Genomic DNA, 17,276 nt, shown 5'->3' on the forward strand with positions numbered 1-17,276 from the left:
AACTATACTAGTTTTGCTCTTTTTGCTCAAGATTTCTTTGGCTATTATGGCTGTTTTGTGGTTCCATATAAATTTTAGATATTTTTTCCATTTCTGCGAAGAATGTTATTGGTATTTTGATAGGGATTGCATTGAAACTGTAGATTGCTTTGGGTAGTATGATTATTTTAACAATATTCCTTCTTCCAATCCATAAACATGGAATACCTTTTCATTTTTTTGTGTCCTCTTCAATTTCTTTCATAAATGTTTTATAGCTTTTATGGTAGGGATCTTTTACTTCTTTGGTTAATTCCTAAGTAATTTTATATTATTTGTAGCTATTATATTAATAAACAGGGATTTTTAAAAATTTCTTTTTCAGATCGTTCACTATTGGCATACAGAAATGCTACTGACTTTTGTATGTTGATTTTGTATCCTGCAACTTTATTGAATTTTTTAATCAGTTCTAATAGTTTTTTTGATAGAGTCTTGAGGTTTTTGTTTCAATTTTCCAAATATAAGATCATACCATTTGCAAACAAGGATAATTTGACTTCTTCTTTTTCAGTTTGGATGCTCTTTATCTCTCTTGTCTAATTGCTCTAGCTATGACTTTCAGTACTATGTTGAATAATAGTGGTGAAAGTGGGCATCTTTGTCTTGTTTCAGATCTTAGAGGAAAGGCTCCCAGTTTTCTCCATTTTTTTGCCACTAGCTGCTGGCTGTCATATATGTCTTTTATTACGTTGAGGTATGTTCCTTCTATACCCAGTTTTTTTAGGCTTTTTTTTTTATCATGAAGTGTTGTTGAATTTTATTAAATGTTTTTTCATCATCAATTGAAATGATCGTATGGTTTTTGTCCTTCATTCTGTTGATGTGATGTATCACATTTGATTGCTTTTTGTATGTTGAACCATCCTTGCATTCCTGGGATAAATCATACTTGGTCATGATGAATGATCTTTTTAGGGTGTTGCTGAATTCTGTTTGCTAGTATTTTGTTGGGGATTTTTGCATCAATGTTCATCAGGGATATTGGGGTGTGGCTTTCTTGTTTGATGTGTCTTTGTCTGGTCTTGGTATCAGGGTAAAACTGGCCTAACAGAATGAGTTTGGAAGCATTCCCTCCTCTGTTTTTCAAAATAGTTTGAGTAGGATTGTTATTAAGTCCTCTGTAAATGTTTGGTAAAATTCAGCAGTGAAGCCACTGGGTCCTGAACTTTCCTTTACAGGGAGACTTTTTATTACAGCTTTGATCTCATTACTTGTTATTGAGCTGCTCAGGTTTTAGTTTTCTTCATGGTTTAATCTAGGTAGGTTGTATATGTCTAGGAATTTATCCATTTCTTCTAGGTTTTCTAATATATTGGTGTATAGTTGCTTTTCATAGCCTCTAATGATCCTTTTAATTTCTGTGGTATCAGTTGTAATGTCTTCCTTTCTATCTCTGATTTTATCTATTTGGGTCTTCTCTCTTTTTTTTTCTTAGTCTGGCTAAAGGTTTGTGAATTTTGTTTTTCTTTTCAAAAACCAACTTTTTATTTCGTTGATCTTTTGTATTATTTTCTTTGTTCCAATTTTATTTATTTCTGCTCTGATCTTTATTATTTCTTTCTTCTACTAATTTTGCGTTTGGTTTGCTCTTGTTTTGCCAGTTCTTTAAGATGCATTTTTAGCTTGTTTATTTGAAGCTTTACCACTTTTTCTGATGCAGGCACTTATAGCTATACATGTCCCTCTGCTTTCAAGGTATCTCATGGATTTTGGTATGTTGCGTTTTCATTATCATTCATTTCAAGGAATCTTTTAATTTCCTTCTTAATTTCTTCATTGGCCCACTGGTCATTCAGGAGCATATTGTTTAATTTCTATGTGTTTGTATAGCTTTCAAAATTTATCTTGTTATTGATTTCTAGTTTTATTCCATCATGGTCAGAGAAGATTGGGGCAAATTTATTTACAGTGGAAATTATGAATGTAAAGTTCCCTTGGCATTGGAGCTGTTTGACCTTATTTCTCCAACTTGAAGCAAGTAAATGTTACTTGGGTTACTTTTAGAAATTTCCAAGCTTTTAGAATTTCCTCATTTAAATCACTGAGGCTACAAAGTATGCATTATGTATGTTTTCATGTTTATTGACTATAACACATGGTGTCTTGACTGCCTAGAATAAATCCCTCATTGACAGGACTGTTTGTCTGGATTAGTAAATTAGGGAATCACCAAACTAACATGGATTTTATCAGGTACCATGTTGAACAAACTTTAAGGCTAGTATGAATTTCTTAGATGTCTTGGTGGTTAAAAAGTTTGTCTATAGGCATACTGTTGTGGCAGTCATGCACATATAAATCCCTCCCTTCTACCCTTCTTCCCTCATTACCTTTCTTTATTCTTATTAAGCAAATAGGTAGAGTTGGGTAGCCTACTCATCCTTTTTTTCATGCCGGTTTTAAGTGGCTGCCTGGCCTAGCTCAAAAAAAGTATGTTATGGGTATAAGAACCTTGATTATAAATTTATTGTTAGTGGATTTGGAAGCCATCTACACATGTAATTCTACTTGACTATATGGAAATAGAGAATGTTTCAGTAATTTCAAATCTATGGCACCAAACACACCTCTCCTCTGCTCACCATTTTATTAAGGTATAATTTATAAATAGAAAATCCATCTTTTTAAGTGTATGGTTCTACAAGTTTTGACAAATGCATACAGTGATGTTACCAACCCTACAATCAAGATATAAAACAGTGTCACATTCCAGAAAATTCCCTTATGCCACTTTAGAGTCAACCCCTCCTCCCACCTTCAGACTCTGGTAAGCAGTGATTTGTTGTTTGACCCCACAGTTTTGCCTTCTCAAGAATGTCATGTAATTGGAATCATACAGTATGCAGTCTTTTGAGTTTGGCTTCTTTCATTTAGCATATTGCATTTGAGATTCATTCATGTTGCTAAGTATATCAGTAGATCTTTCCTTTTTATTACTCTATAGTGTTCCATTGTATGATATATCAGTGTGTCTATCCATTCAGAAGTTGAATTCCCAGTTTATGGTAATTATAAATAAAGCAGCTAAATATATGTTCAAAGATGGTCGAATAGGAACAGCTCCAGTCTGCAGCTCCCAGCGAGATCGACGCAGAAGACAGGTGATTTCTGCATTTCCAACTAAGGTACCTGGTTCATCTCATTGAGACTGGTTGGACAGTAGGTGCAGCCCACGGAGTGCGAGCTGGAGCAGGGCAGGGCATTGCCTCACCCTGGAAGTGCAAAGGGTCAGGGTATTTCCCTTTCCTAGTGAAGGGAAGCCATGAGAGACTGTACCAGGAGGAACGGTACACACCTACCCAAATACTGTGCTTCTCCCATGATCTTCACAACTGGCAGACCAGGAGATTCCCTCTGGTTCCTGGCTCACTGGGTCCCATGCCCACAGAGCCCAGCAAGCTAAGATCTATTGGCTTGAAATTCTTGCTGCTAGTGCAGCAGTCTTAGATAGACCTGGGACACTGGAGCTTGGTGGAGGGAGGGGCGGCTGCCATTGGTGAGGCTTGAGTAGGCAGTTTTATGCCCACAGTGTAAATAAAGCTGCCGGGAAGATTGAACTGGGTAGAGCCCACTGCAACTCAGCAAGGCAGACTGCCTCTCTAGATTCCACTTCTGTGGGCAGGGCATATCTGAACAAAAGGCAGCAGCCCTAGCCAGGGAGTTTATAGATAAAACCCTCATCTCCCTGGGACAGATCACCTGGGGAAAGGGGCAGCTGTGGGCACAGCTTCTGCAGACTTAAATGTCCCTGCCTGACAACTCTGAAGAGAGCAGTGGTTGTCCCAGCATGGCGTTTGAGCTCTGATAATGGACAGGCTACATCCTCAAGTGGGTCCCTGACCCCCCTGTAGACTGACTGGGAGACACCTTCCAGTAGGGGCCAACAGACACCTCATACAGGAGAGCTTTGGCTGGCATCTGGTGGGTGCCCCTCTGGGATGAAGCTTCCAGAGGAAGGATCAGGCAGCAATATTTGCTGTTCTGCAGCCTCAGCTGGTGATACCCAGGCAAACAGGGTCTGGAGTGAACCTCCAGCAAACTCCAACAGATCTGCAGCTAGGGGGGCCTGACTGTTAGAAGGGAAACTAACAAACAGAAAGGAATAGCATCAACATCAACAAAAAGGACATCCCCATCAAAACCCCATCTGTAGGTCACCAACATCAAAGACGAAGGTAGATAAAAACCATAAAGATGGGGAGAAACAAGAGTAGAAAAGCAGAAAATTCCAAAAACCAGAACGCCTCTTGTCCTCTGAAGGATCACAACTCGTTGCTAGCAAGGGAACAAAACTGGACGGAGAATGAGTTTGATGAGTTGACAGAAGTAGGGTTCAGAAGGTGGGTAATAACAAACTCCTCTGAGCTAAAGGAGTATGTTCTAACCCATTGCAAGGAAGCTAAAAACCTTGAGAAAAGGTTAGAGGAATGGCTAACTAGAATAACCAGTGTAGAGAAGAAAATAAATGACCTGATGGAGCTGAAAAACACAGCACGAGAACTTCATGAAGCATACACAAGCTTCAATAGCTGATTTGATTAAGCGAAAGAAAGGATATCAGTGATTGAAGATCAAATTAATGAAATAAAGTGAGAAGACAAGATTAGAGAAAAGAGAGTGAAAAGAAAAGAACAAAGCCTCCAAGAAATATGGGACTATGTGAAAAGACCAAATCTACATTTGATTGGTGTACCAGAAAGTGATGGAGAGAATGGAACCAAGTTAGAAAACACTCTTCAGGATATTATCCAGGAGAACTTCCCCAACCTAGCAGGGCAGGCCAACATTCAAATTCAGGAGATACAGAGAACACCACAAAGATATTCCTCGAGAAGAGCAACCCCAAGACACAAATTGTCAGATTCACCAAGGTTGAATTGAAGGAAAAAATGTTAAGGGCAGCCAGAGAGAAAGGTCAGGTTACCCACAAAGGGAAGCCCATCAGACTAACAGCAGATCTCTTGGCAGAAACCTTACAAGCTAGAAGAGAGTAGGGGCCAATATTCAACATTCCTAAAGAAAAGAATTTTCAACCCAGAATTTCATATCCAGCCAAACTAAGCTTCACTAAGCTTCATAAGTGAAGGATAAATAAAATCCTTTATAGACAAACAAATGCCGAGAGATTTTGTCACCACCAGGCCTGCCTTACAAGAACTCTTGAAGGAAGCACTAAACATGGAAAGGAACAATCGGTACCAGCCACTCTAAAAGCATGCCGAATTGTAAAGACCATCGGTGCTAGGAGGAAACTGCATCAACTAACAGTCAAAATAACCAGCTAACATCATAATGACAGGATCAAATTCACACATAACAATATCAACCTTAACACATAACAATATCAACCTTTAATGTAAATGGGCTAAATGCCCCAATTAAAAGACACAGACTGGCAAATTGGATAGAGTCAAGATCCATCAGTGTGCTGTATTCAGGAGACCCATCTCACGTGCAGAGACACACATAGGCTCAAAATAAAGGGATGGAGGAAGATCTACCAAGCAAATGGAAAGCAAAAAAAAGCAGAGATTGCAATTCTAAAATTGACAACATAATTGGAAGTAAAACACTCCTCAGGAAATGTAAACGAACAGAAATCGCAGCAAACTGTCTCTCAGATCAAATTAGAACTCAGGATTACTAATCTCACTCAAAACTGCACAACTACATGGAAACTGAACAACCTGCTCTTGAATGACTACTGGGTAAGTAACGAAATGAAGGCAGAAATAAAGATGTTATTTGAAACCAATAAGAACAAAGACACAACATACCAGAATCTCTGGGACACATTTAAAGCAGGGGGTAGAGGGAAATTTATAGCACTAAATGCCAACAAGGGAAAGCAGGAAAGATCTAAAATCGACACCCTAACATCACAATTAAAAGAACTAGAGAAGCAAGCGCAAACAAATTCAAAAGCTAGCAGAAGGCAAGAAATAACTAAGATCAGAGGAGAAATGAAGGAGATAGAAAAACAAAAAACCCTTCAAAAAATCAATGAATCCAGGAGCTGGTTTTTTGAAAAGATCAACAAAATTAATAGACCACTAGCAAGACTAATAAAGAAGAAAAGAGAGGAGAATCAAATAGATGCAATAAAAAATGAAAAAGGGGATATCACCACCGATGCCACAGAAATATAAACTACCATCAGAGAATACTATAAACACCTCTATGCAAATAAACTAGAAAATCTATAAGAAATGGATAAATTCCTGGACACACACCCTCCCAAGACTAAACCAGGAAGAAGTTGAATCTCTGAATAGACCAATAAGAGGTTCTGAAATTGAGGCAATAATTAATAGCCTACCGACCAAAAAAAAGTCCAGGACTAGATGGATTCAGAGCTGAATTCTACCAGAGGTACAAAGAAGAACTGGTACCATTTCTTCTCAAACTATTCCAATCAAAAGAAAAAGAGGGAATCCTCCCTAACTCATTTTGTTAGGCCAGCATCATCCTGATAACAAAGCCTGGCAGAGACACAACAAAAAAAAGAGAATTTTAGGCCAATATCCCTGATGAACATCGATGCAAAAATTCTGAATGAAATACTGGCAAACCGAATCTAGCAGCACATCAAAAAGCTTATCCACCACGATAAAGTCTGCTTCATCCCTGGGATGCAAGGCTGGTTCAACATATGAAAATCAATAAACATAATCCAGCATAGAAACAGAACCAACGACAAAAACCTCATGATTATCTCAATAGATGCAGAAAAGGCCTTTGACAAAATTCAACAGCCCTTCATGCTGAAAACTCTCAATAAACTAGGTATTGATGGAATGTATCTCAAAATAATAAGAGCTATTTATGACAAACCCACAGCCAATGTCATACTGAATGGGCAAAAACTGGACGCATTCCCTTTGAAAACCAGCACAAGACAAGGATGCCCACTCTCACCACTCCTATTCAACATAGTATTGGAAGTTCTGGCCAGGGCAATCAGGCAAGAGAAAGAAATAAAGAGTATTCAATTAGGAAAAGAGGAAGTCAAATTGTCTCTGTTTGCAGATGACATGATTGTATATTTAGAAAACCCCATAGTCTCAGCCCAAAATCTCCCTAAGCTGATAAGGAACTTCAGCAAATTCTCAGGATACAAAAATCAATGTACAAAAATCACAAGCATTCTTATACACCAACAACAGACAAACAGAGAGCCAAATCATGAGTGAACTCCCATTCACAATTGCTTCAAAGAGAATAAAATACCTAGGAATCCAACTTACAAAGGATGTGAAGGACATTTTCAAGGAGAACTACAAACCACTGCTCAAGGAAATAAAAGAGGATACAAACAAATGGAAGAACATTCCATGCTCATGGATAGGAAGAATCAATATAGTGAAAATGGCCATACTGCCCAAAGTAATTTATAGATTCAATACTATCCCCATCAAACTACCATTGACTTTCTTCACAGAATTGGAGAAAACTACTTTAAATTTCACATGGAACCCAAAAAGAGTCCATATAGCCAAGACAATCCTAAGCTAAAAGAACAAAGCTGGAGGCATCACACTACCTGACTTCAAACTAACTACAAGATTACTGTAACCAAAACAGCATGGTACTGGTACCAAAACAGAGATATAGATCAATGGAACAGAACAGAGGCCTCAGAAATAACACCACACATCTACAACGATCTGATCTTTGACAAACCTGACAATAACAAGCAATGGGGAAAGGATTCCCTATTTAATAAATGGTGCTGGGAAAACTGGCTAGCCATACGTAGAAAGCTGAAACTGGATCCCTTCCTTACACCTTATACAAAAATCAATTCAAGATGGATTAAAGATTTAAACGTTAGACCTAAAACCATAAAAACCCTAGAAGAAAACCTAGGCATTACCATTCAGGACATAGGCATGGGCAAGGACTTCATGTCCAAAACACCAAAAGCAATGGCAACAAAAGACAAAATTGACAAATGGGATCTAATTAAACTAAAGAGCTTCTGCACAGCAAAAGAAACTACCATCAGAGTGAACAGGCAACCTACAGAATGGGAGAAAATTTTCACAACCTACTCATCTGACAAAGGGCTAATATCCAGAATCTACAATGAACTCAAACAAATTTACAAGAAAAAAACAAACAACCCCATCAAAAAGTGGGCAAAGGACATGAACAGACACTTCTCAAAAGAAGACATTTATGCAGCCAAAAAACACATGAAAAAATGCTCATTATCACTGGCCATCAGAGAAATGCAAATCAAAACCACAATGAGATACCATCTCACACCAGTTAGAATGGCAATCATTAAAAAGTCAGGAAACAAGAGGTGCTGGAGAGGATGTGGAGAAATAGGAACACTTTTACACTGTTGGTGGGACTGTAAAATAGTTCAACCATTGTGGAAGTCAGTGTGGCGATTCCTCAGGGATCTAGAACTGGAAATACCATTTGACCCAGCCATCCCATTACTGGGTATATACCCAAAGGACTATAAATCATGCTGCTATAAAGACACATGCACACGTATGTTTACTGCGGCATTATTCACAATAGCAAAGACTTGGAACCAACCCAAATGTCCAACAATGATAGACTGGATTAAGAAAATGTGGCACATATACACCATGGAATACTATGCAGCCATAAAAAATGATGAGTTCATGTCCTTTGTAGGGACATGGATGAAATTGGAAATCATCATTCTCAGTAAACTATCGCAAGAACAAAAAACCAAACACCGCATATTCTCACTCATAGGTGGGAATTGAACAATGAGATCACATGGACACAGGAAGGGGAATATCACACTCTGGGGACTGTGGTGGGGTCGGGGGAGGGGGGAGGGATAGCATTGGGAGATATACCTAATGCTAGATGACGAGTTAGTGGGTGCAGCGCACCAGCATGGCACATGTATACATATGTAGCTAACCTGCACAATGTGCACATGTACCCTAAAACTTAAAGTATAATTAAAAAAAAGAAAATGTGGCACATATAAACCATGGAATATTATGCAGCCATAAAAAAGGATGAGTTCATGTCCTTTCCAGGGACATGGATGAAGCTGGAAACCATCGTTCTCAGCAAAATATCACAAGGACAGAAAACCAAACACCGCATGTTCTCACTCACAAGTGGGAGTTGAACAATGAGAACACATGGACACAGGGAGGGGAATGTCACACACCAGGGTCTGTTGGAGGGTGGGATGCTGGGGAAGGGATAGCATTCAGAGAAATACCTAATGTAAATGATGAGTTGATGGGTGCAGCAAACCAACATGGCACATGTATACCTATGTAACGAACCTGCATGTTGTGCACATGTACCCCAGAACTTAAAGTATAATAAAAAAAATAAACAAAGCAGCTATAACTATTCAAGTACAGGTTTTTGAGTGACTACATATTATGATATCAAATGGATAGATGAAATGGAGTTGAATTGCTAAGTCATATGGTAAGGTAAGGTATGTTTAACTTTATAAGAAACTGCCAAACTGGTTTCCAAAATGGTTGCTTCCTTTTGCATTTGTACCAGCAATGTATGAGTTCCAGTTATTCTGAATCCTTACCAGTACTTGGCATTATCAATTAGAATTCTTTTCTTTTCTTTTTCTTTTTAGTTATTCTGATAGGCATGTAATGGTATTTCATTGTGATTTTATTTGCATCTCCCTTATGACTAATGATGCTGAGCATCTTTAATGTGCTTATTTGCTACCCATATTTTTTTTGGCTTATTGTTTAAACCTTTTTATTGACGTTTTATTTTAATTGCTTTCTTATTGCTGTTGTTTGATACTTTTATATGTGCTGTATACAAGTCCTAGATCAGATATGTAATTTGCAAGTATTTTCTCCCAGTCTGTGACTTGTTTCATTCTCACCACGTATCTTTAGAAGAATCAAAATACTTGATTTTTAATATGTTCAGTTTATCAATCTTTTTATCTTATGGATTGTGCTTTTGGTGTTGTATCTAAGAAATCTTAGCCTAACCCAAGTTCACAAAGATCTTCTCTCTTGTTTTTTTCCCCAGAAGTTTTATAGTTTTAGGTCCATATTTAGGCCTGATTAATTTTGAATTAATTTTTATACGGGGTGTAAATGTGGATTGTGGTTTACATTTTGTGTATGAGTATCCAAACTGTCCAGCACCATTTGTCAAAAAGATTACTTTTTCTCCATTGTATTGCCTTTGCATCATTGTTAATAATCAATTGCCCATATATTTGTAGATTCTTAATTCTGTTCCAGTGATCTATGTGTTTATCCTTCCATCAGTACTACACTACCTTGATTACTATAGCTTTATCATATATCTTAAAATCAGGTAGTGTGAGTCTTCCAACATTATGCTCTTTTTTGTTTTTCAAAATTATTTTGTCCATTCTAGTTCCTTTGTCTTTCCATTTAAATTTTAGAACTAGCTTGCCAATTTTTACCAAATACCCTACTGAGATTTTTATTGAATGTGTGTTGAATCTAGAGATCAGTTTGAGAAGAATTAACATCTTAACAATATTATGATTTTTAAATCCATAAATACAGTATATCTCTCCATTTATTTAAGTCTCTTTTTATTTCTTTTATCAGTGCTCTGCAGTTTTCAGTGTACAGATCTTGCACAGATTTTTGAGATGTATACTTAAGTATTTCATGTTTTTGGTGCTATTTGAAGTGATATTGCGTCTAAAATTTTGATTTTTAATGGCTCTTTAATATTTTACAGAAATCAATAGCTTTTTTTTGTATACTGATCTTGCTCAACTCACTTATTAGTTCTAGTAGCTTTATTTTTTAATTTAAAAATTTTAAAAAGATTTTTTAGGGCAATTTTGAGTTCACAGCAAAATTGAGTGAAAGGCACCTGAAAGAATCAACAACAAAAAAACCTCCTAGAAGTAATATGATTACAGCAAAATTGCAGACTGCAAGGTTAAAGATGTGTATAAAAGTCAAATGCTTTTCTATATTCAGCAATGAACAAGTGAAATGTGGAATAAAAAACCACAATATCATTTACACGACCACCCGCAAAATGAAGTACTTAGGTTTAAATCTAACAAAATATGTGCAAGATCTGTTTGAGGAAAATGACAAAACGCTAATAAAGAAATAAAAGAAGAACTAAATAAATAAAGAAATATTTCATGTTCATGGATAGGAAGACTCATTATTGTCAAGATGTCAGTTATTCCCAACTCGATCTATAGATTAAGTACAGTCCTAATCAAAATTCTAGCAAGTCACTTTATGGATATTGACAAACTGATTCTAAAGTTTATATGGAGATGCAGAAGGCCTAGAATAGTGAAATCAGTATTGAAGGAGAAAAACAAAGTTTGAAGACCAACACTACCCAACTTCAAGACTTACTGTAAAGGTACAGTAATCAGGACAGTGTGATACTTACTTAATAGTAAGATACAAAACTATAAAAATCCTAGGAAATAACATAAGAGAAAAACTAGATGATCTTGGGTATGGTGATGTCATTTTAGATAAAACACCAAAGGCATGATTCATGAAATAAATAATTGACAAGCTAAAATTTATTAAAATCAAAAACTTATACTCTGTGAAGGAGAATGTTAAGAGAATGAGAAAACAAGCAGTAGACTGGGAGAAAATATATGTAAAAGATAAATTTGATAAAATACTGTTATCCAGAATATACAAATAATTTTTAAAACTCAACATTAAAAAACCAAACAACTCAATTAAAAAATGAGCCAAATAACTTGACAGACACCTCCCCAAAGAAGATATACAGATGGCTATTAAGCAAGTAAAAAGGTGCTCCATATCATACGTCATTTGGAAAATACAGATTAAAATAACCATAAAATGCCACCACATGCCTACTAGGATGGCCAAAATTCAGAACACTTATAGCACCAATGCTGGCAAGGATTCATTGCTGAACTCTCATTTGTTGATTAATTCCTGGTGGGAATGCAAAAATGGCACAGCTATTTTGGAAGATAGTTCGGCAGTTTCTTACAAAACTAAGCGTACTCTTACCATATGATCCAGCAATTATGCTTGGTATTTGCTGAAAGGAGCTGAAAACTTACATCCACACAAAAACCTGCACACAGATGTTTATAGCAGCATTATTTATAATTATCAAAACTTGTAAGCAACCAAAATGTCTAATAGCTTTCTGGCAGATTCTTTGGGGTTCATCTACATTGACAATCATGTTGTCTGTGAGGAGAGAGTTTTATTTTTCCCTTTTGTAATATGTATGTTTTTATTTCTTTCTCTTGTTTTGTTATACTGGCTAGGATTCCAGTATGATATTAAATATGAATAGCGAGAATTGACAATCTTGCTTTAGTCTCAATCTTAATTTAGTCATTTACCATTAAGTATGATGTTAGCTGTAGAGTTTTTTTTAAGATACCATTTATCAGGTTGTAGAAGTTCTCTTCTATTTCTGGTTTTCTTAGTTTTTTTTTTTTTAAATCAGGAACGGGTGTTGGATTTTTTTAAAGGTTTTTTTCTGTATCTAATGAGATGAGTGCATGGTTTTCCTTCTTTGATTTGTTGACATGATAAATTACATTGACTGATTTTCAAATGTTGAATCAGCTTTCCATTCCCTGAGATACATTCTATTTGGTCATGATCTATTCCTCTTTTTACATATTGATAAATTCAATTTGATAGAATGTTGTTGAGAATTTTGGTATCTATTTTACTGAGGAATACTGGTTGGTAGTCCTTTCCTGCTGAATTCCCCATCTGTTCATGTATGCTGTCCACCTTTTACACTTGAGCCTTTAAAACATTAAATGTAATTATTTAGAATTTCATATCAGATAGTTCCAATATCTGGGTCATATCTGAACCAATTCTGTTAGTGGCTTTTTCTTGCTTAAGTTTCTCATAAACGTTTTTCTGGTTTTTTTTTTTCCTTTCTGGTTCTTCATGTGTCTCATAATTTTTGTGTGAAAGCTGGGTATCTTTAGGACATTAAAGGCCTGAGAAAATATATGAATGGCCACAATGGGCACCCTCTTTTATTTTCAGACCTTTAATGTGTGTTTGTGTGTGTGTGTATGCATGTGTTAGTGAGCTAGTTGAATCAGGAATCAGGAGTTGATCAGGGTTTTGTGGTTGCTATGGTTACTCTCAGTGAACCATAGTCTTCAAATTCCTGTAGCATTAATTTGCATTTAGGTGGGGCTAGGCTTCTGGAGTTTTTTTCCCTGTGCTTTCTGTTTATCCTCAGCTTTAGGCTTTCCCTGTGAATCTTTACTTCAGAGAGTTTCTCTTCATGTTCTTGCTTCTCTGCTGTTGTTTGCTACTTGATTCTCGCTAGCCTGGTGTTGGGGAGGTGGAATGGGTAATGTTTTCTGCTTTCATGGTTTGTCCACAGTCTCAGCCAGTCTGAACCTTGTAGGTGAGGCCTTTGGAGTAGGCCTAGGCCTTTCAATGTTAGGGGTTTCTAATGGCTTGGGCTTGCAATATTTTCTTCCTGTCTCCCAGAGATACACGTTTTTTCCTTCCTTTCTTCCAGCTGCAGTGGGTATTCACCTGTGCTGGAGAGTGACTGAGCTTGTTGCCCTTTCTCCAGCAGCTTAAAGTTTTTGCTTCATTGGCAAAATATGGGAAAAGACTCTGGGCAGGACTTCATGCCTTTCTTGCAGTGGCAACTGCTCCCCTTTTCCAGGTCTCCACCACTGAGAGTGGTTTCTCTGGTTTCCCACTCCACTTCCATTCATTTTTGTGAGCACCCTGTGAGGTCTGTGAAGAACTTGTGGTTGGTGTTGACTTCCTTTGTGTCTGTAGCTTCCACGAGTTCTGTGGTTGCTTACTCTCAGCCTTTAGCAATTTGTTAAAAATTTTAGGTGAATTCTTCTTACCAGCTTATATAATACTCAATGTCTGTTCCAGGTAAATCAGTGGTCATGTCCTGTTTCTTCTCGGAGGCACTTGTCTTACCTTAGACTTCAGGCTACCAATTTGCCCTGCAACCTCAGCTCTCTCATGGGTTCAATAAAAATTATAACTCGAGTTATTCTAAACAATACAGTTTGAAATAATTTGATTTTAATAATATAAATAATTATGACTCAAATTATTGAACAATATCTGGAATTACCCTCATTGTAAGGGGATGGGGAAATGTTTCCCCCAGCTTTCTACATCTTAAGTGTAAATTGGAATTCAGTACATATTATTGATGAAACTACATGCCCCATTCTACATAGCACCAAATATAGAACCAATTTTTTTTTTGAGACGGAGTCTCGCTCTGTTGCCATGCTGGAGTGTAGTGGTGCAATCTCAGCTCACTGCAACCTCCGCCTCCAGGGTTCAAGCAATTCTCCTGTCTCAGTCTCCTGAGTAGCTGGGACTACAGGCGCACACCACCATGCCTGGCTAATTTTTGTATTTTTAGTAGAGATGGGGTTTCACCATGTTGTCCAGGCTGATCTCGAACTCCTGAGCTCAGGCAATCCACCTGCCTCAGCCTCTCAAAGTGCTGGGATTACAGGCATGAGCCACAAGCCACCACGCCTGGCCTGCACCAAATGTTTTTAAGAATTTTATGGCCATCTTTTTAAGGTCAAAATTCAACCAATCAACAAATATGGATTAAAGAGCAAGTTTGTGTCTATTAAGGTATCAGGTGGTAGGTTTTAACCTGGAAGCCATTTCCATTGGATTGGAAGTAGTTGCCTGAAATGCTGTGTTGAAAAGATTGTGAGACAAATTTGACTTTTGTACCTAATTGATGAGGTCTGCCATGAGCACAGAGTGGCTGAGAAGGAGCTCTCATGGCATACTTTAGCTTTTCTTGATTAGTCTCTAAGGCAATGGGGAAAGTATGGGAGAAGGGGGTGAGAAGTTTCTTAATCAAAGGAATTTGTTGTCTAGTTGGAGAGGAGTTACATGAGCTGGTAGAACAGTTGGAGGCAGTATGCAATAAAAGTTTAAACTGCACAGGTATTGCAAGGTGATAGATTTGGGGAAGGGAGAGATCCTTGTGGGATTCAGTGATCTTGGAAAGCATGTTCACCCAGGAAGAGAGCTCAGAAGCCCTGCCATAGCCAAGAGAGTGAGGTCAGTTCTGAGACTACTGAGTTCTGCGTGATGGTGCATCTTACAAGTAGAAATGTTCTATGTAGGGGGAAAGACCACAGGAGGAATGCTGGGCTGACATCATCATCAGACAATTGATAATGAAAAGCAATGAGACGACATGAGCTGACTGAGGGAGCAAGTGTATATAAAGGAGAAGGAAAAAGTGAGAACTTGGGTTGGCAGAGTGGGGAGTGATACTCTTAGGAAGCGGAGGAGGAATTGCTGGTGAAGGAGGCAAAGCTATGATGACTGCACAACAGCTGATATCTCAGACACCTACTCATACTTCAAGCCCAAGACAATCCTTCTCTCTGTTGTGGCTTTTCAGATCTTCCTTGGGCAGAATACATTGTTTTCTCCCCTTGGTTCCCCAGCCCTTTGTTCAAACTATGTATGGCACTTATTACATTATATTATAGTTAGTGGTGTGTGTGTGTGTGTGTGTGTGTCTGTGTGTGTGTCTGTGTCAGTGTGTGTGTATTGAACTGTTATTTTGTAAGTCATTTTTGGCTTTGGGCTGTGTCTTATTCACCACTTTTCACCATTGAATCACATTTTTTTGGCACACCATCTATGCTTAAGTAATGCTTGTGAAATTGAATTAAAAATGACATCTGACAAGGGTCAAGTGAAAACGTTTTGGGTTTGACAAGAAGGGAGTGAATGCACTTTCAAGGGAGCAGTTTCAGGACAGTGATAGAGACTGTTCTGAAGTTCTGGTTTTGTTCTAGTTCAATTGTTTTAGGAACCATAGAGATGTGGTTACTGCTTTGAATCATATCAACTCAACCTTTCCACTAAAGCAAAAAATGTTCACATCTATATTGAAAGTGCAGCAATTAAAAATACTAATGGCTTGCAAATTTCTCTTTAATAAAATCCCAGAGAACATAAGATTTTTTGATATGTTATGAGCAATTAGGAAAAATATTTGCAAATGAATACTAATGCATAATTGTGGAAGAAGAGAATGTGCCCTGCTGGTTAGGGTTAAGTGAGATACGGTACAAAGATTAAAATGGTTTCTAGAGGTAATTTAAACCCAAGAATTTTCTCTACTTTATGATGATTTAACCTAAGATAATAGTGTAGTCAGAGGAAACAGAGAGCAACTTTTCAGAACTCCTTCAGCTTCTCACTACACAACAACAAAATGCCACCAGGTAAAGCATTTCTTCTCCTGTATAAAACTAATTCTTCTACCGTTTCCTGGTTTCTGTCCCTGTCGCCTCCTCAGGGACTCACTCTAGTGGTTATTCTCTTTCTTGTGCCTGCAATCTCTCTAGCTTTGTTGGCTTTTTTCTCTCAAGTTCCAGCACACTCATGTTTCTCCCACCTCTAAAACAAAAGCCCAACCGTCTTGGTCTTCAGCTTTCCTCCGTATCTTGTCTTTCTTTGGTCCCCCATCCAGTCAGATTCCTAGAAGTGCTCTAGACGCAATGCCTTCACTTTTTTAAAGCAAGAGAGCTAAGGAGCAGAAGATCTCATCTATTTAGGTGATTTACTTGAGTGAAGACAAGTTACTGGATTAAATAAACCTCTCAGGGATGTTTAAACTTTACAACCTAATATATTTATAAAATTCAATGAGCTATTTGGATAGAAAATGGTTTTTAGGAACAAATCCCAACTTAGGTAGCAACAAGTAGTCATACATATTAAAATATAAAATTTCTAAAAATCAAAACCTTCCTGTTGTTTTGATTTTCTAGTTAGAACATTACACCTAAATTAGGCATTCAGAAGAGACACACCTAATTCAACTGGAAATCATTCTCTAGACATAAAGAGGTGTAACAGAAGTGTTGCTGTTTTAAGACATTTGCAATTACACAATTAAATTAAAGAACTTGAAAAATGGAAGCTCTTATAAGTTAATTGGTGTTGATGGTAGAAGTGTACACAAGGAAAGACATAGAATTTGCATTTGCCAAATTATAGGGTGAAGGTAAGAGGAAGAAGTGAAAGCTGTTTGCTTGGACCACTTTCCAACAAAAACATGTATATGCTTTTTGAGCTTTAAAGAACATCACTTTGTGTTTTTCAGGACCAGAAGTGCTGCCGCCAGGACATGGTCCCAGGAGAGAGCTCCCACGCAGAATATTAGAATTACAGGTGAATTACATGCTGAAACTGGTAGGG

At 37.5% G+C, this 17,276-nt stretch overlaps 1 long non-coding RNA gene across 6 annotated transcripts in view; it reads left to right on the top strand.

Moving 5' to 3' along the window:
* The window catches only part of LOC107983981 (uncharacterized), a 417,903-nt gene that overhangs the window by 95,439 nt on the left and 305,188 nt on the right, over nt 1–17,276 (top strand). For all 6 annotated transcript variants that reach the window (XR_004837530.2, XR_932257.3, XR_004837531.2 and 3 more), the window contains one exon: nt 17,182–17,249. This is a non-coding gene — a long non-coding RNA (uncharacterized LOC107983981). The remainder of the gene's footprint in view (nt 1–17,181; nt 17,250–17,276) is intronic.

This window comes from Homo sapiens, chromosome 15 (assembly GCF_000001405.40).
Source record: "Homo sapiens chromosome 15, GRCh38.p14 Primary Assembly".
NCBI lineage: Eukaryota > Metazoa > Chordata > Mammalia > Primates > Hominidae > Homo > Homo sapiens.